The 20,834-nt window shown below is 38.6% G+C and overlaps 1 long non-coding RNA gene across 3 annotated transcripts in view, besides 1 other annotated feature; it reads left to right on the forward strand.

Moving 5' to 3' along the window:
• LOC102723654 (uncharacterized) overlaps positions 1-20,834 on the forward strand; it is a 253,720-nt gene that overhangs the window by 15,991 nt on the left and 216,895 nt on the right. For 2 of the 3 annotated variants that reach the window (XR_001742463.2, XR_001742465.2), the window contains exon 3: positions 16,156-16,215. The exons of the other annotated variant lie outside the window; for it this stretch is intronic. This is a non-coding gene — a long non-coding RNA (uncharacterized LOC102723654). The remainder of the gene's footprint in view (positions 1-16,155; positions 16,216-20,834) is intronic. 3 annotated transcript variants of the gene reach the window in all.
• Positions 8,087-8,586: an enhancer, noted in NCBI's record as "H3K4me1 hESC enhancer chr5:128499979-128500478 (GRCh37/hg19 assembly coordinates)". NCBI's record gives its function as "activates a minimal SCP1, AML or CMV promoter by ChIP-STARR-seq in naive H9 embryonic stem cells {active_cell/tissue: H9 hESC(naive)}" and the evidence as "EXISTENCE:reporter gene assay evidence [ECO:0000049][PMID:30033119]".

The following is a 20,834-nucleotide window of genomic DNA, read 5'->3' on the forward strand; positions in this document are numbered from 1 at the left end:
CTGAGGCTTTCTTCCTTTTTCCGGTCATATGCCTCTGGAAGGTCATACTCCGCCATTTTGTCTCTTAATGCACATGCCTGGGAAGTTGCTTCTCTTTGGCATCTGCATTCAATTAACACTTTAGTGCAACAGGTGTGGACCATCAGGAAATGGCCTCTCCCTGAAACCAGCTGCCAATTTATTACTTTTAGGGAGGCAATGTGATAATTGCTGAACCATCACCCAACATTTCTAGTGGATGGGGGAAGAGCCTCCTTCTGCCCTGCTAATGCCTGTCTCACTACCTATAACAGTAATAGTCATTTGCTATTTTATAATATCTAAGATCAATTGTTTTATGTATTTTGTGGGGTTTTCTAGTTATTGAGGAAGGGAAATTACTGTTGCCTTTAATCATCCATAGACAGAAGTAAAATTCTCCTAGTTCATTTTTATAATTTTCATTTTTAAGCTCATATTTCCTATGTGTTTATTCATTCTATTTTTAAAAAATTTTGAGCACATTTTTCTTTCGTTCTTTGAGCATTTTTATAATACTCATCCTAAAGTCTTTGCCAAATTCACCATCTTGGCCATTTTAGGGTTGGTTTCTATGGACTGTTTTTTTTTTTTTTTCATTTTCTTACACGTGTGAGACACCATGCCCAGACTTCTTCTTTAACTATATATAGCAAAATTTTGGTTTTTGTATGTGTAATATTGTGAAATACATATTTGGTCTTCAATCCTCTTTATAAGCATACAATTCCTAAAATCCTTAGGATCTTCAAAGTGATGTCTTTTGTGTGTTAATAATTGAGTGATGGCTGGCTGCTCTGGGCTGGCTTCAGAATGCAGTCTCATCATCACAAAGCCAAGGCATGGTTAGAACATTGAGATTTTCAGCCCCATCCCTGACCTCTAGGCAGAGGAGAGGGAATGAAGGTTAAGTTAATTGCCTTCATCAAGATAGCTGAGCACATGGAGATTTCTGGAGGTGGTGTGCCCAGAAAAGCCATGGAAGCTCTACACTCCTCATTCAATACCTTGCCCTATGCATTTTCATCCATATCCTTTGTAACATTCTTTATGATTAACTGGTAATTGTAAGAGTTCCAGAGTTTCGTGAGCCACTCTAGAAAATTAAGCCCAGAAAGGGTTCTAGGGATCCCATCTTGAAGCTAGTTGGTCAGGAGTTCCAGAGTTCCAGATACCTGGGCTTGTGACTGACATCTAGAAGGGGTGGTCTTGTGGAACTGAGTCCTCAACCAATAAGACCTGATGCTATCTCCAGGTAGACCATTTTTTAATTGAATTGAGAATATCAAGCTGGTGTCTGCTGCAGAGTTGATTGCTTGCTTGGTGTATCGGAAGAAATTCCCACATATTTGGTCACAGAACTCTTCTGTGTTGGTTGGCAATGGTTAATGAGTGAGAAACTAGAAAATGCACTTCGTATGAATTTGTTTATTCCTCAGAATATGTCTCTATTTTTTTCCATGTGTACTGCACATTGTTGATGAAACATTGTAGAAACTCTGGATTGTTGTTTTTTTTCTTTTAGCGTGCATGTAGATAAGTTTATCAATTGACCACATTAGGCTTGTGTAGACTTGACTTTTATGTTTTGTTAGGGAGAATCTCTGGAAAACCCAGGTGTTCTCAAGTTCCTCTTACTAGTGTAGTCAACTGTTAAATTATATCTCCTAATTGTAATTTTTAAAGGCATGATTTTTTTTAAGTTCAGTAGTATATGTACAGGTTTGTTATATAGGCAAACTTGTGTCATGAAGGTACGTTATACAGATTATTTTGTCACCCAGGTATTAAGCCTAGTACCCACTAGTTATTTTTTCTGATCCTTTCCCTCCTTCCAGCCTCCATCCTAGGTAGCCCCCAGGGTCTCTTCTTCCCCTCTATGTGTCCATGTGTTCTCATCATTTAGCTCCCACTTATAAGTGAGAACATGCAGTATTTGATTTTCTGTTCCTGCATTAGTTTGTTAAGGATGTTGGCCTCCAGCTCCATCCACGTACCTGCAAAAGACATAATCTCATTCTTTTCTATGGCCACATAGTATTCCATGGTATATATTTACCACATTTTGTTTATCCATTTTACCACTAATGGGTATTTAGGTTGATTCCATGTCTTTGCTATTGTGAATAGTGCTGCAATAAATATATTTGTGTGTGTGTCTTTATGGCAGAACAAATTGTATCTTTTGGAATATATACCCAGTAATGGAATTGCTGGATCAAATGGTAGTTTTGCATTTAGATCTTTGAGGAATTGCCACACTGTTTAACTGATTTATACCCACACCAACAGTGTATGAGCATGCCTTTTCCTCCACAACCTCACAATTATCTTATTTCTTGACATGTTGATAATACCTATTCTGACTGGTTTTAGATGGTATCTCATTGTGGTTTTGATTTGCATTTCTCTAATGATCAGTGATGTTGAGCTTTTTTGCATATGCTTGTTGGCCATAGGTATGTCTTATTTAGAAAAGTGTCTGTTCATATTCTTTGCCCACTTTTTAATGGGGTTGCTTTTATCTTATAAATGTGTTTAAGTTCCCTATAGATGCTGGGTATTAGACCTTTGTCAGATGCATAGTTTGCAAATATTTTCTCCCATTCTGTAGGTTATCTGCTTACTATGTTGATAGTTTATTTTGCTGTGCAGAAACTCTTAAGTTTATTTCAATCAACTTTGTCAACTTTTGCTTTTGTTGCAATTGCTTTTGGTGTCTTTGCCATGAAATGTTTGCCCATTCCCATGTTCAGGATTGTATGACCTAGGTTGTCTTCCAGAGTTTTCATAGTTTGGGGCTTTACGTGTATGTCTTTAATCTATCTGGAATTAATTTTCATATACAGTGTAAGGAAGAGGTCTAGTTTCAGTCTTCTGCATATGGCTAGCCATTTATCCCAGCACCATTTATTGAATAGGGCATCCTTTTCCCATGGCTTGTTTTGTAGATTTTGTCAAAGAGCAGATGGTTGTAGGTGGGTGGCCTTATTTCTAGGCTCTCTATTTTGTTCCAATGGTCTATATGCCTTCTTCTGTACAAGTATTATGCTGTTTTGGTTACTGTAGCCCTGTAGTATACTTTGAAGTTGGGTAACATGATGCCTCCAGCTTTGTTATTTTTGCTTAGGATTGCCTGTGGTATTAGGGCTCATTTTTGTTTCCACATGAATTTTAAAATAGTTATTTTCTAGTTCTGTGAAGAATGGCACTCGTATTTTAATAGGAATAGCATTGAATGTGTATATTGCTTTGGGAAATATGACTGTTTTAATGATATTGATTCTTCCTATCCATGAACATGGAATAGTTTTCCATTTGTTTGTGTCATCATTGATTTCTTTGACCAGTGTTTTGTAGTTCTCCTTGTAGAGATCATTCACCTCCCTGGTTAGCTGCATTCCTAGATATTTTATTCTTTTTGTGGAAATTGTGAATGGGATTTGCATTCCTGATTTGGCTCTCAGCTTGGCTGTTGTTAGTTTATGAAAACATTCCTCTCCTTCCTCCTACCCTCCACCCTCAGGTAGGCTGCAGTGTCTGTTTTTTCCCTCTATGTGTCCCTGTGTTCTCGTCATTTAGCTCCCACTTATAAGTGATATTCGTGCATTGATTTTGTATCCTGAAACTTTGCTAAAGTTGTTTATCACCTTAAGGAGCTTTTGGGCTAAGACTATGGCATTTTCTAGATATAGAATTATGTCATTTGCAGAGATAGTTTGATGTCCTGTCTTCCTATTTGGATGCCATTCATTTCTTTCTCTTGCAGCAAGGACTGCAAGGTATTTGCACTACTCTGGCTAGGACTTCCAATACTATGTTGAAAAGGAGTGGTGAGAGAGGGCATCCTTGTCTTGTGCCAGTTTTCAAGAGGAATGCTTCCAATTTTTGTCCATTCAGTATGATGTTGGCTGTGGGTTTGTCATAGATGGCTCTTATTTTGAGGTATCTTCCTTCACTACCTAGTTTATTGAGAGCTTTTAACGTGAAGGGCTGTTGAATTTTATTGAAAGCCTTTTCCACATCTATTGAGATGATTGTGTGGCTTTCATCTTTAGTTCTGTTTATGTGATGACTCGTGTATTGATTTACATACATTGAACCAATCTTGCACCTCAGGGATAAAGCCTACTTGATCATGGTAGGTAAGCTTTTTGATATGATGCTGGATTTGATTTGCCAGTATTTTGCTGAGGATTTTTGTGTTGATGATCATCAAGGATATTGGCCTGAAGTTGTTTTTTTTTTTTGTTTTTTGTTTTTTGTTTTTGGTATTTTTGCCAGGTTTTGGTATCAGGATGATGCTGGCCTCATAGAATGAGTAAGGGAGGACTCCCTCTTCAATTTTGGAGGAAGAGTTTCAGTAGGAATGGTACCAGTACATTGTACATCTGGTAGAATTTGGCTGTGAATCCATTGAGCACTGGGTTTTTTTTTTTTGGTTTTTTTTTTTTTTTTTTTTTTTGGTTGTTGGTTGGTAGGATATTTGTTACTGATTCAATTTCAGAGCTTGTTATTGGTCTGTTCAAAGATTCCATTTCTTCCTGGCTCAGTCTTGGGAGAATGTATGTGTCCAGGAATTTATCCCTTTTTTGCTAGATTTTCTAGTTCATGTGCATAGAGGTGTTTATAATATTCTAATGATTATTTGTATTTCTGTGGGGTCAGTGCTAATATCCCCTTTGTTGATTCTAATTGTGTTTACTTGGATCTTCTTTCTCTTATTTATTAATCTAGCTAGCAAACTATTAATTTTTTCAAATAAACAATGCTTGGATTTGTTTTTCTTTTGAATGGGTTTTTGTGTCTCAGTCTCCTTCAGTTCAACTCCAATTTAGGTTATTTCTTGTCTTCTGCTGGCTTTGGAGTTGGTTTGCTCTTGGTTCTCTAGTTCTTTTAGTTGTGATGTTAGGTTGTTAAATTGAGATCTTTCTACCTTTCTGGTGTGAGAATTTAGTGCTATAAATTTCCCTTTTAACATTGCCTTAGCTCTGTCGCAGAGAGTGTGGTATGCTGTATCTTTGTTCTCATTACGTTCAGAGAACTTCTCTTGATTTCTGCCTTAATTTCATTATTTACCTAAATATCATTTAGGAGAATTTTATTCAATTTCCATGCAACTGTATGATTTTGGGCAAATGTTAGTCTTCATTTCTAATGTGATTGTGCTGTGGTCCAAAAAAGTGATTTTTTATGATTTCAGTTTTTTTGCATTTGCTGAAGAGTGTTTTATGCTTGATAAAGTGATTGATTTTTAGAGTAAGTTCCATGTGACAATGCGAAGAATGTATATTCTGTTGCTTTTAGGTGGAGAGTTCTGCAGATGTCTATCAGGTCCATTTGATCCATTGATGAGTTCAGATCCTGAATATCTTTGTTAATTTTCTCCCTTGGTGACCTGCTTAATACTCTCAGTGAGGTGTTGAAGTCTCCCACTATTATTGTGTAGAAGTCTGAGTCTCTTTGAAGGTTTCCAAAAACTTGCTTTATGAATCTGAGTGCTCCTGTGTTGGCTGCATATATATTTAGGATAGTTAGGTCTTCTTGTTGAATTGAACCTTTTACCATTATGTAATGCCCTTCTTTGTCTTTTATCTTTGTTGGTCTGAAGACTGTTTGTCTAAAATTAGGATTGCCATCTTTGCTTTTTTCTGTTTTCTGTTTGCTTGGCAGATTTTTCCCCATTGCTTTATTTTGAGCCTATGTGTGTCACTGCATGTGAGATGGGTCTCTTGAAGACAGCATACCTATGGGTCTTGGTTCTTTATCCACATTGCCACTCTGTGCCTTTTAATTGGGGGCATTTAGCCTGTTTACATTCAAGGTTAATATTGAATGCTAACAGTATCCTATCATCACAGTGTTAGCTGGTTATTAGGCAGACTTGTTTATGTGGCTACTTTATACTGTCACTGGTCTATGTACTTCAGTGTGTTTTTGTAGTGGTTGCTGACAGTCTTCTTTTCCCCCATATTTAGTGCTGCTTTCAGGAGCACTTGTAAGGCAGATCTGGTGGTAATGCATTCACTCAGCATTTGCTTGTCTGAAAAGAGTCTTATTTCCCTTTCACTTATGAAGCTTAGTTTGGCTAGATATGAAATTCTAGGTTGGAACTTAAGAATGTTGAATATTGACTCCCAATCTCTTCTGGCTTGTAGGGTTTCTGCTGAGAGGTCTGCTTTAAATCAGTTGGTTTGATAGGCTTTCTTTTGTGGATGACCTGACGTTTCCTTTCTGTCCAGTGGCCTTTGATTTTATTAATTTATTTATTTTTGAGATGGAGTCTCACTCTATTGCACAGGCCGGGGTGCAATGGCATGATCTTGGGTCACTGCAACTTCTGCCCCTGGGTTCAGGCAATTCTTATGCCTCAGCCTCCTCAGTAGCTGGGATTAGAGGTGCATGCTACTGCACCTGGGTAATTTTTATATTTTTAGTAGAGATGGGATTTCCCCATGTTGGCCAGACTGGTCTTGAACTCCTGGCCTCAAATGATCCACCTGCCTAGGCCTCCCAAAGTGCAGGGATTACAGGCGTGAGCCACTGTACCTGGCTTAATATTTTTTCTTTTATTTTGGCCTTGAAGAATCTGATTATGTGTCTTGGGGATGATCTTCTTATGAAGTATCTTACTTGGGTTCTCTGCATTTCCTGAATTTGAATGTTAGCCTCTCTAGCTAGGCTGGGGACGTTCTCATGGATTATATCCTGAAATAAGTTTCCCAAATTGCTTACACTGTCTTTCAGGGACACCAATGTGTCATAGAATTGGTCTCTTTACATAATTCTGCATTTCTCAGAGGTTTTGTTCATTCGTTTTCATTACTTTTTCTCTATTCTTGTCTGATTTCAGAAAGCCTTCAAGCTCTGAGATTCTTTCCTCAGCTTAGTCTATTCTGCTATTAATACCTGTGATTGCATTATGAAATTCTTGTAGTGTGTTTTTCAGCTCTATCATATTGGTTACCATTTTTTTATACTGGCTATTTTGTCTGTCAGCTCCTGCATTGTTTTATTGTGATTCTTAGCTTCATTGAATTGGGTTTCAATGTACTCTATCTCAATGATCTTCTTTCCTATCCATATTCTGAAATCTATTTCTGTCATTTCAACCATCTGAGCCTGGTTCAGAACCCTTGCTGGAGATGTGATGCAATTTTTTGGAGTAAAGATGGTAGTCTGGCTTTTTGAGTTGTTAGGGTTCTTGTGCTTGTTCTTTTACATCTTTGTAGGCTGATGTTCCTTCAGTCTTAGAAGTTGCTGACCTTTGGATTTTTTTCTTTTATCATATTTGGTGCCCCGTTATCCAATCAAACTTTAAGGTATAAGGCAGATTCAGCCAACTGCCTTCATTTCTGAAAGATTTTAGGAGGTCAAGGCTTGGTTCCCAACATCTGGACTGTGTGCCCTAACTCTGGACTTGTGCCCCAACTTTGTTCTCTGGTTTCTTGAGGTTAGGAATCCACTGGGCTGGGTGGGCCAGGGTGCTCTCAGACTACTGCTTACTACACTCTAATAGCTGGTGTCAGCCAAGCATTATATAGTGTAGTGACAGCAGGATCCATCTTTGTTTGCATGTGCCAGTGGCAGCACATGGAGGTGCATATTTGTTGGCTGTGACAGGGTTCTGGAGGATGTTTGGTTGCCTGCCTCTATGCCGGCATTCATCACAATAAGGGAGGCAGCACAGCTGGGGGTGGGGATCTTCTGCTGGTGACTGTGTGTACAGTTGCACTGGTGGATGATGTTGGCATGGGGATGGGGCACTGGCAGGTGCTAGACTGGTTGTATTCTTTGTGCACTGCAGGCAGAGGTGGTTGCTCAAGGCAGAGGAGGGGCTGCTGTTCTTTTTGTCTAGTTTCACTCCAGCAGCAGTGTTAGCACAAGGGTGGGGCACTAGCAGGGGCAGGGATGCTGGCTTTGTGCCCACCAAGGCTCTGACTGCAATGGTGGTTGGCATGGGCACGGTGTGGGGAGTGGACTGCACTCCTGCTGCAGCAGTGGCAGGGCAGGGTGCACGTACATCCGTGTGCTGGTGGGGCAAGGAAGGCAAAACCAGTCTGGAAACACATTATGGCAAAGCAATGTAGGGGGTTGCTGCAGGCCTGGGGGAAGCTGCAGTGTGGGGAGGGAGCAGGCAGGCTGGTGCCTGGCCAAGGGGGCTGTCCCAGTGGAGCTCTCTGCCAGTCACAGTCTGCCAGTGCAGGAACTATGATATGGGCCCCTATGGCACTCAAGGCTGCCCTGCAAGCAGGCACAGCCAGGCTAGGGCCCTGAGAGAGGCCAGGAGGATAGGGGGTACTCAGTTCAGGCCAGCCCTATCTGATGTGCAAGACTGACCTGCAGAGTTCAGGTCTGACAGGTGTTCTAGGGCTAGCGTCTCCTATGGGAGCAAGTTCAGCCTAGGGGAATGGGCGTCCCTGTCCATGCTCCACTACAGACGCTCCTGCACCAAACCCCCTGGGCTCCACATCAGCTGGTTTGCTGCCCCTACCACTTCTTTAAGCAGCTCTCCCTGTCAACTTGAGTGTTCATGGTGGTCAAGGCCTCTTTCCAGGATTCCAGAGGCCTATGGCAAGAGTGGGTTACTCCTTGCCAGTTAAACTCACGTATTTCCCTGAAGCTTTTGGGGGCCAGGAATGAGTCCTGGTGTGTGGTAGCCCTGTGCAGGACTCCCAGCTTCTGTGTCTTCCCTCTGGACACCTGTTAGGAGTGTGCCAGTCATCTCGGCCCCTGGGTGGCAGCTATTCCACCTGGCTGTGTCTAGTGGGCCATCTTTCCCTCTCCCCTACTGTATCTTCTTTGCAGATATTTCAGGACTTGGCTTCAATCTGTTTCAGGGTAAATTAATGTAGGCCTTAATCTAGGGCTTGGTCCTTACTCCCAAAATTGGCTTTTGGTCGGAGCTGAATGTGTATAGTATTAACGTGTTAAGGAGGTGTGCCTAAGGTCTTTCTACTGCTGAGCCATACTTCTAGAGGTTCCTAGAACTTCTTGACCTCTAGTATCTCTGTTACATTTTCTACCCTGTGGAAGCTACTCTCTGGTCAGCCTTTTGTAGTGTTGCTCTGCATGTGCATAGTACATCCTTGACCAAGAATTCGACCTCTACACAGATGGCTGTGTTTTACGTATTCTGCTTTCTATGCTTCTCGGAACTCTGATGTTTGCCTCTTCAATTCAGCAGAACTACCTCTGAACCAGAAAGCCCAAACTTTGGATTCTAGTTTATTGCATTGCAGTTAGAAAATTTTCTTCAGACAGAGCCAGCATAATGGCAGGGCTTACCTCATGAGTTTCTTTTCTGTCAAAGACTGTAGTCCTGAGCTACCAGTTATCTAAGCACTATCTGTCATCCAGCCATAACGGTTTTATGCCTCCGAACAGTCATCTCACATATGTTTTCCACTTTCATCATTATTTATAGGTGAAAGGCTGGTCTGGTACTAGTTACATAGTCACAGCTAGCAGCAGAATTTCCTCCTGCAGTGAGGTTCGTGTTACTGTGTATGTGTGTTTTTAAGCTAAATTTATTTAACTTAAAGGAATCTGTTTTATTTGGAAATTATATCTTTCCTACTTCTTATATATTATTTATTTCTTTAAATATTAAAGATAGCAGATTATAGTGTTGGCTGTGCTTGTAAGTACATGTATGTTTTAACACTTTTTCTTGGCAGTATAAAACACTAAAGCAAAATGATGTGGACTCTAAACCTTTGCTACTCTGCTAAGTAATAAGTAGTTTTGAGTTAACCAGACCTTGGTCGTACCTAGTAGAACAATAGCCTATACAGGATGGTTATGCCTTAGTTTATTGGGACTTATTTTCCTGGACAGAACCTCCTTTTATTTCTAGAATGCCTTTGAAGTTAGGCTAAGAAATTTATTTTTTTCTGAAATATACAAGAGACTTAGGATTTCTCTAAAGAATCTCCAAGATGGAGCTTAGAGTCCTAAATCAAATTTACTATTACTGTATCATAATAATAAAAGATAGGAAAACTGATTTAGAAGATGAAATCCAGCCATAAGATATTTAGGTTAGATTCTGCTTATTTATAGTCAAAGTAGTATGTATCAGGGATTTAATTTTTAGAAAGGAATTTTCTGGTTAAATCTCAAGGTGAATAGTGATGTAGCACAAACACTACTTTCTTTGTAGTATTCATATAATTATATTGAAGTTAACCACTTGCAATTTTCTTAGCAATATGTTGAATATAATCAGGTATTAAAATATTAAAAAATAGCCAGGAAGGTTACATTTTAGTTCATTATTCATTTCATCAACTCTGCCTCTCTAATATCACTCAAATGCATTCCATCCTCTCTACCTTCACTACCACTATCTCTGTCCAGGCTTTTACAATTGCTTTTTGGTTTACTGTCGTTGGCCTCCTAGTCTCTGCTCTGGACATCTATTTCATTCTCCATATAGCAGCTATATAGAGTAGAACAGCATTTTAAAAATGCAGATCTCATCACTTGGAGTGTGAAATCCTTTCTAAGTAAGAATTATTTCTAGATGAAAGAAACAAAGGAGAGAGGAGGAAGAAATGTCCTTGAAAGGGAACAAAAAAGCATAATATTCTGAACAGTTGGGTGCTGTATTTACTCCTTCTTGAACTCTCAATTCCAAAGATTGCAGATTTCCTTCTAGAAGTGACTTTTTTAGTCATATTTCCACATTTTTCTCTACTTCAAAGCATCTTGCTCCCACCTTATTTACTCAGTGTCTTCCCTACTGACTGTCACCTTTAGATTAACAATTTCCTGTTCAGTTGCATTTATTTTCTTTCTGAGACATTGCCTTTTGGATTGCTTCCTCCTCCCTAACTGTTCAAGCAACTGTCTGAATACATCTTTTCACTACACTCAGCCTGGGTTTCCAAAACTAGGTTTCTTGGAAGTTGAAAAAATACAAAATTTCCTGCATAGTGGCAGGAAAAAAAAATTAACTAGGTAATTGGGTATTTTTCCCCCTTATTCATTATATAAGTATTTATTGTGCACTTAATATGTGTGATTTCTTTTGTGTTGTATATGCAACAACAGACAAAACTGCTATTTCTAGAATACTTAGTCTTTTGGAAGATATAGACAATTACAATAGTGTGAGAAGTTGTATAATAGATTAGGGTGTCATTAAAGTACCTAGTTGAAACACCTATCTCAGTCTACTAGGGGAATTTCTTAGGAGAATAAAGAATGAGTAGGGATTAGCAAGGAAGAAGTTGGGGTGGTGGCTTGGGGGACAGTGTTCAGGAAAAGAAATAGACATTTGCAAACCTAAATGGAAGGAAGCATCATGGTAAATTGGATAGATGAGAGTTGCTAAGAGAGGCAACAGGAAAGGTAAGTGGGGGCTAGTTTGTGAAGGTCTTTGTCAGCCATGTAAGGGAATTGGGAATTTGGATTTTACCCTAATGTAGTGGTTCTTTGACTTTAATGTGCATTCAAACTCACTAGGAATATTTTTACAATGCAGATTAGATTCTAATTCAGGAGGTTTGGAATGAAGCTTAATATTCTGCTTTTTTTTTCTGTTTGCTGTTTTAAAACTTCTAGTTCAGAAAGTTTTACATGTCCTATTTCCTAATTTGTTCATTGGTATATACCAGAGTTTTGTTAGCTCAAATGAAAAATCTTCTTTCCCATCATGACATATGCATGAATCAAGTCTTCCTTGTAGGTGGAACTCAGCAATTTGTCTCCTGTATATCTACTGGGTATTTCTTAAATTTCCTCAGTGTCTAGGCCAAATCTTTGCTTATTTATTAGCTTTCCAGGCACCTTGCTTTTAGACCTCTCACAATTACATTGCAGTGATTTGGGAGAGACTGTCTCAGACTGCAAGCCCTCCTGTTTGGCCATGGTGAGTTCCTTCTGGAGGCTGCCATGAGTGATTTCACAGCAGTCCTTCACCAGTTCATCTCTTAAACCATATAGATACTCTCATATGCACTATTATTCAACTTGCTCTTCTTTCTGGCATGCCTGATGATGTATCAGGGAGGGAGAGAGTTCTTGGGACACTTTAGTTTATCACCCTGCTAATCTCTGGATAAAGACTACCCTAGTGAAGAATCACAGAACTCTGTGCATTAACTTCTTCAAAATGGCATACTCTGTCATCTTCAGCATTCCCTTCCACATCACAGTCTTCTAAATCCTCAGGAAACAACATGTTCAGTGTAGGACTTTTCCACCCATATATTGTCTTTTGAATTGGGGAGATGACAAAAGCTTCCAGCTTCTTGGTTTTCACAGTCTTTTAAATCTTTGTAAAGTTTATGAAATTCTCATCCTTGACTTCCTCAATTTCTTCTTTCATGATCATTTCTTCTTCCTCTATACTGTGTTTCCCACTCTTGATTGCCTTTTGAACTGAGCCCTTTTTACTATTCTGTGTCTGCCCTGTTACAGGGCTGTCTAGCACTGAATCTTCTTCAACCACAGTGATCACTGAGATGCTATTATGAGATGGTCCTTCTCAGAGGCACTCATATCACATTGGATCACTTTTACAACTTTATTGGCCTGAGCCAGCTGGGAAGGCAAGGGACAGATGTTCTCAGGGCAGATAACACCATTTGCCATTATTTCTTTATTATCTATGGCATGCTTTTCATGTGCATCATACTCTTTATCCACATGACACATTTCAACTACATGGGGCTCCTCATCTTCACAGAGTTCCTCATCTTCATCACCCTTTTCAGATTTGCATAAACACAAGGCTCTATTAGATGTGGCTTCTCAGTCTAGCTCATATTACATTCAATCACTTTAGTCCAATAAAGTCAACTTTTTTGGACTGCACCAGCTGGATTGGTGAGGGACAGGGTTTCTCTGGGAGCCTGGCTTTCTCCCATCACTGAGGTGCTTCTGGGCATTGAATGGTAGGCTCAGGTCGCTTCCATGCTGAAGGGGAGTTACCTCTCCTGCTGGAACTGCTTGACATTCATAGACTTGCACACTTTTAACTTCATGCTCTTTTGGGCTTTTTACCAACTGAACCTCATCCCTGGCTTTTTTACTGAGAGGATTTGGGGGGCAGCCTTATATCTATTTTTTTTCTTAACCATGTTCATTTCTATGCCAGCACCTGACTTCAAGATCTCTTTGTCTTCTTCAACTTTAAGACACTGCCTTAAACCATAGTATCTCTTTGCTCATATTTATTTATAATGTTATCTTCATCCTCAGAAGGGTTTTAGAGCATACTCTTGCTTTTACAGTAACTCTGTGAAAGCAAAGGTGTGCTCTGAAATCCTCCTGAGGGTTTGTGCTGTGCCACTTTCCCTTGCAGGTCTTTACCGTAGGCCACATCATACAAATTGATGTTTTCCTTAAAAGTCCCATAATTTTACTGTAGGGGAATCTATTCTTTTATTCACACTTTCTCCTTCTCAGAGGTGCATTGCTTCTGAAAGGTGTGTTTCTATATGAAGGGTTATTAGAAGGGCTCTTACCATGTCATCTCCTCTTATGAGTAACATAAAATAAAGCCTATCTCTTTTGTCAGGAATGTTGTCAGCTTCTGTGTAAATAGCAGTAGTGAGGAAACTGGCCATACCAGCTATGTTATGGCTATTGACTTCTGCAGGGATGTTTTGTTTTTCACATGTGTTTTCAGCCTGCTTAAAATCAGATTGAGTCTTTTTGATTTTCTTTCTTTCTCCAAAGGCATTTTAGTGCTGGAACTGTGCTGTATGATAAGACACTGGGAACATGGTTAGGTGTGGTAGGAAATGGAGATTGTGGCACTAGAAAGGCAGAATACTTTCTGAGTGCAAATAAATATAGAACACAGACTTAAATTTATTAAACCTGCCCCAGTAACATGGAGATGATCATAGATGGGATTCTGGTACCACAGACCCAGGAAAGGATGGGCCATAGCCTGTATTTAATAGGGTCTGGGGTTGCTGCCTACAATATTGTGCACTGCTTTTTGAATAGTAGTTCATTTTCTAGTTCATTCCTGCATGACGAAAACCTACAGCTCCTCCCCCATCCCCTCCACTCCACCCATATTCTGCATTTCTAATAAGCTCCTAGATGAGGCTGACACTGCCTGTCCATGGACCACACTTTGAATAGCAAACTCCTAAGGAAGATAGCAAGGACTTTAAGGATTTCAATTGGAGCAGAAAATATTATAAACATATATCTAGCATTCTAGAAAGAATGTTGTGGTTTTAGAATAGAAGATTAACTGGAGAGGGGCAAGATTGGAAGCAGGAAAAAATTTAGCTGACTATTTTAGTAAACTTGGTTAGATATGACAGAGATTTCAGCTACTAGATTGCACTGGGCATGGAGAAAACTGAACAGATTCAAATATACTTGGAAGTAAAACTTAGAATCTTAGAGAACTTTGGAAGCGAGAGCAAGAACAGAAGAATAGAGACAGATTCTTAGGTATCTGGCTTGGTCAAATTTAATGCTACTCAAGGTGAGACAGCAGATCTGTGGAACGATTTAAAAATAGGCATTATATAATCAGATGTTATTTTCTTCACTCAATTAGAAATACCTATGTATCATCTCTGAATTCAGATACCTGTCATATAATCAGCAGAGAAATGAAAAAAGATACTTTTCCCTTCTTTGTACAAATGGAGAGATTTTTTTTCTTGCATTGTAGTACTTTGGACCAAATAATTAAATTAACTCCCTTGAGTTTGATGTGATGCACACCCAGGGAACTACTCTCATCCAGGACTCCCAGGGCACCGCTCCCACCCAGATAGGGAAGCAGTTTGATGTCCGAGTGAACACAGCCTGGTTTCAAAGTATATTGTACTCTATTGCCACTTTACTTAGAGCAGTTCAGTGGAGTCCTTCAGTCAACTGGAAAAAATAATCAGTTTACCTGCCCTGTGAAACTCTCAGTTTTAGCTTTGCTATTTTATCATGGTTTACATTCTCTCATAGGTAAAATCTAGTTAGACTAAAGGACATCTTTAAAATTGTACAACAGTGGCCAGAGATGTCTAGCCTTATAAAGAGATGATGAGGATTTTTAATGACCATGTGAAGGCATATCTATGAAACAAAAAAATTTTCAGCACTAAGTGGCATAGTCAATTCCAGCCTAACTGCCTCAGACCTGAGCAGCCTGTTCCTGAGGGCCTGCCTATTTCCCACATGGAAGGCTTAGCTCTCCATGTGCTATTAAGTGCTGGTGAGTCTGAGGACAAAGGAGTGGGAAGTAGAATTCACAGAGTTTGTGTATTCTCGTCCTTTATTTTTACTGAGTTGCAGATGGTTTCACTCACCAGAAGGATCTTTTATGTTGCCAGCATTGGCTTTACAAGTTAAAGATGGGATAGAGAATAGGTCAGCAAGACACCTTAATTGCTTCATCTTTTTCCTCAGGTCAGCCTGTTCTGAATCAGACTCCATTCCCTTCTAACATAACTCATTTACGCACCCAACACTCTCCCAAGTAAGGCTAATCTTTTACTGGTTTTTCTTCTTACAACTGTGGGACACTGGATTTCAGCATCTGGAGGCTGTTAACTATTGGAATTATAGCCAGGAATATCTTACAGTTTCTAGTGGTTGTTATCTTTCTGCTCTGACATTGTTCAATTAGACTCAGAGTGGATAAAGGATTATGAGAAAACATGTAGTGTGAAAATGCCTTAATTCTTATGTTCCCAAATCACTGATGTTGGCAATTGTTTTTCCCTTTATTTTAATTTTTTTTAATAACTCTTTCACCATACAGGGATGCTAGATTGAAAGTGCAACATTGCTGAGTCAATAAAACAGTTTTTTTTCCAATTATCTCATCTGTGAAAATTCAGTTATCATAAATGTATTTGTCTTCTATAGATTAATTTTATGGATATTCAAAAAATGTTTTTATTTGGAAAGAGTATGCCCAGAATGGAAAGTTCTTAGACAATATATAGTGATTGGATTCTGCTACAATACATGCATTTTTCTCACAAAGAACTGAATTTTGGAAGAGTTCTTTGATCAAACTCATAGAGCCAACTAAGGGTAGAGCCAAGACAAATTGTTTAAGTCAGAATTTTGTAACTTTCCTTATTATGAGAAAAACTTGGGGTTCTCATTAAAAAGAACTTTTTTTTTTTTCTGACTCCACGTCCACAGTGAGAGAATGTTCAGGAGAGAAAATCAGAAATCTACATTTGAAAAGTATCCCACTAACAGGTAGGTGATTCTTATGTGCACGCAAGTTTCAGGATTAATGGTTGATTTAAAAATCAGTAAAATGCATTCCAAGATATATACATTCTAGAAAGCAGACAAAATTAATTACAATTTCTTGAGAGGAGATATAAATGTTTGGACACTTAATCTGGCAAGATTAATTTGGCTACTTCATAAAGGTGTCTAAGCAGATACAATAAGCACAGTAGGAATGACAATTAGATAATGCAGTGGGTAAGTGTAGTTGTAATAAATTTTATTTCTTGTCTTATTTATTTATATTTGCTATTTTGGAATTTACTATAATGTGTATTGTTGGAAAACTTACCAGCAGGTGGTAGCACTGTTTAACAAATATACCCCAGATCACAAAGCAAGCCATTGTGAATAATTTATTGGCTACTAGAGCAGTAACATTCAAATATGTCAGAATATTGGATTGGGATTCAGAAAGCCTGACTCCTGGTCCCAGCTGTATTACTTACTGGCCCAATCACTTTGGAAAGATAATTTAATCTTAGTGTTTAGATAACATTGTAAGTAAAATTGGGATAATAACTCTCTTGGCTTTTGTTGTTTAGGGTAGAAAAAGAAAATGATTTTGAAATCATGGGAGGGGTAGAATGCTAGGTAAATGCAAGCTATCATCTCTCCTTTTTCCCCCGCTACGTTTCTTGTTATTCAGGCATATATTTTAAAATGTGACCCTATTAGCAGTAAAGGTGGCCATCACAGTGGAACTTAAAAGGACAGCACTCATAAATGTCAAATGACTTCCTGTTGCTCATGTGTTCAACTAATTTTTGACTTTTTTTTCAGTTTTGTTTTTTTCCCATGTATTCTAAGATACCAAAACTTCGCATTTGTGGGGTCTGAGGAAAAGTAGTTCCAGCCTCTGAATGCATTTTCATACGCAAACATTGCTTGTCTAACCTGTGCACATTCGTGAATTAAAGAGGAAAACTCCAAGAGAACCCAAATGGTAACTTCAAGGTGTTTTTACAGAAAAAAATAGCATCTATGTGCAGTAGCACATTTAAAATACAAAGAGCATAGTGAACTATTAGTTTACCTTTACTGAATCTTTGTTGTGTACAGAGAAGTATACAACCACTTAGAAGATTCAAAGATATAGAACCCAGGGGCTCCTAAAAATGAAAAACTTTTCATTCTTTGCTGTATTTTCATATTTCATTCAGTAGATATTTATTGATAATGTTCAATACTCCAGGGACTTTGCTAGGTGCTGGGGATATAGGCTATGTAAGACATGCATAATTCTCAAAGTTGCAATTTTTCAGATCATCTATAAAAGCAAACAGATGTGGTATATAAGGCTAAAAATAAGAACCACGAATATCACTGGGTGACTATTTCAATTAAAGCCAACCTGGAGAAAGTTAACATGTGAGATGTGAATGGAAAGAAGAGAGATTCTAGTGGAGGATATGGTACCCACAGAGTGAGATGTATGATGTGGAGACAGTACAGCTTAATAGTTAAGAGTATGGGCTTTGGAGTCAAAATGATCTGGAATAAAGTAGTAACTCTGCTACTTGTAAATTGCATAATCTTTGGCAAGTTACTCTGATTTTTTTGTTTCTTAGTTTCCTCATCTGTAAAATGGATATGATAGTAGTTTCTATTTTATAGTTATTCTAAGAACTAAATCTGACAATTAGTGCACAGTAAATTCTAAATGTGGAAAAGCAAACAAATTTTCTTGAAACATAAGATATATAGAGAAGTTTTTATAAGGCACTGAATGTTAAACACGGAGGTTTGAATTTATTATAGCAGAAAATGGGAAGTATAGATGTTTACATAGAATAGAGGTGTCAGTGAAAAGATATTTAAAGGTGTTATAGCAGTTGTATAAAGGGTGTTTTAGAACAGACGGTGGATAAGGGTACGAAAAGGAGGGTCATCTTAAGAGTACAGATATGAGGAAATGTGAGCTTATACTTGGGTAAGGGATTTGGAAAGACTTGATGATGAATTGGATAGGAGATCAAGAGGGAGACAGGATTAAAAATTTATTCCAATAATGTGAGCCTGGGGAATTAAAGGGGATGGTTGTATCTTTGGCAAAAATAAGAAGCAGTGTTTTATATGTGTGAAGAAAGCAAATATATTTATTCTCATGAGAAAGAGCCAGTAAAAGACACAAAGCACCAGGCAGAAGAGTCCAAAATCAAGACTGGATATTTCAGTTGAGAATAATCTGCCGAGTTTCAACATGGTCATTGAAACCAGCTGCTATTGCGTGTTTGAAGGTAATAGGGGAAAAATGGGAAAAAAAATCACATAAGTATATTCCAAGAAAGAATATCCTTGGGGCTGACAGAACATTTGAGAGAGTGATAAACTTACAAGCTTAATTCTGTTTTCATGAACTTGGAAGAGCAACTTCCTCTTGCTGTGCAGGGTTTTTCCCACATTCTTAAAGTCCCATCCTCCTTTAACAATGTCCTGTGTTGAAATGAATGAAAATTTCTGATGCTAACACATAACTAATTTCTGGCTGAGGTCACGTATAGTAATGTAAAATACCAGGTACCTCATATTCTATTAAAGTAGGTTTGTCACGTAAAGAGAACAGAACTTCTTTCAGGAATAAGTTGGCCACCCATGAAACATGCGAAAACATGGGACAATAAAATTCCTGTCAGAGTCTCTGGGAAGATTTCCCTGAGATTCCATTCCCACAATTGTGTCAGGAAACTACTTCAATATTGTAATGATATGTCACACTTCTATTAGCATGCTTACCACATTGTGTTGATACTATCTTTTGAGATGGGGCTGTGAAACTGACTAAATGCTAAGGGGCCTAAAGACAATGGAAGTTACTTTTTATTTTTTTTGAAAAATTTGTTCTTTTTATTTTTTATTTATTTATTTATTTTTGAGATGGAGTCTCGCTCTGTTGCCCAGGCTGGAGTGCAGTGGCATGATCTTGGCTCGCTGCCACCTTCGCCTCCTGGGTTCAAGCGATTCTCCTGCCTCAGCCTCCTGAGTACCTGAGATTACAGGCACACGCCACCATGCCTGGCTAATTTTTCATTTTTGGTAGCGACAGGGTTTCACCATGTTGGCCAGGCTGGTCTTGGACTCCTGACTTGAAGTGATCTGCCCGTCTCAGCCTCCCAAAGTGCTGGGACTGCAGGCATGAGCCACCATGCCAGCCAAAGAAGTTATTTTTAAAATAGCATTATTGAGTTCTAATTTACATTCAAATATCACCAATTTTGACAAATATGCAGGCTAGTAACTGCTATCATAATAATGATGTAGAACATTTCTATGACTAAAAAGTCATCTAGTGTGCCCCTTGGCAGTCAATCCCTACTCCCCAACTCTGGCCCCTAGCAATCCTTATTCTATTTTCTGTTCCTGCGGTTACAACTTTTCTAGAGTTTCAGATAAGACACATCTATGTTGAATGTATTAGTAGTTTGTTACTTTTTCCTTTATTGATTAAGCTGTATACTTTATTTGTAATTCATTAGTTTTTGCTAAATTCATTTGCCCAGGATCCAATACAGGATATCACATTATATTTAGTTGCTATGTCTTTTTATATTACTCCAGGCTATGACTGTTTCTCAATTTTTTTTTTATGACATTGACAGGAGGCATACTGGTCAAGTATTTTGGAGAAGGTCCTTCATTTTGTTTTCCTGATGATTTTCATATGGTTACACTGGGGATAAGGATTTTTTTTAGAATACAATCACAGAGATAAGGTACCATTCTCAACCTTGCTTATAAAGGGAAGATCCCTATCAATGTGAATTCCCACTGATGGTGTTTACCTGATTGCCTGGCTAAGAGTGTTTGTCAGTTTTTGCCACTGAAAAGTCACATTTTCCCCCATTTCTACATTGTACTTTAGAAGCAAGTCACTAAGTGTAGCCCATATTTAAGGGTGGGGAATTATATCTCTTTTAAAAAGGAAGTATGAAAGGAAAATAAATCTCAAAACCCCAAAATCAGTAAGCCAAAGGGAAAAGTCAAGCTGGGAACTGTGTCAGGCAAACCTACCTCCCATTTTATTACTAAATAAGATAGCTACAATGATTAAAAAAAAGCTCCCTCACAATTTGCCCATGGGATATTCCTTGTGGAAAAAGGACAGAGAACTCAGTTATCCCTCTGCTCCCCTGAGACAAATGCATCTCTGATTGCTTCCTCTGCCCTTCTGTTTCACTAAGACAGACTAAGGCATAAGTGACTATTTTTCTACCTCTCACATGTGAATTGTGTATTCAGTGAAAGGGTAATCAGAGGATCAAAAGGATGCAACCAATTGTCTTTTATCTACTTATGACCTGGAAGCCCTCTCCCCCACTTCAAGTTGTCCCACATTTCCAGACTGAATAAATGTACATCTTACATATATTGATCAATGCCTCATGTCTCCTTAAAACGTATAAAACCAATGTTAGGGCTTTTTGAGGCTGTGTCACGAGCATATTCTTAACCTTGGCAAAATAAACTTTCTAAACTGATTGAGCTCTGTCTCAGATACTTTTGGGTTCACAGAAGTATAAGTAAATTGAGTTCTTGTGTACAGGAGATTTGTCTCTTCTCTCCTATTTGTTTAATCATTTCTT

Source organism: Homo sapiens, chromosome 5, assembly GCF_000001405.40.
Source record: "Homo sapiens chromosome 5, GRCh38.p14 Primary Assembly".
Lineage (NCBI taxonomy): Eukaryota > Metazoa > Chordata > Mammalia > Primates > Hominidae > Homo > Homo sapiens.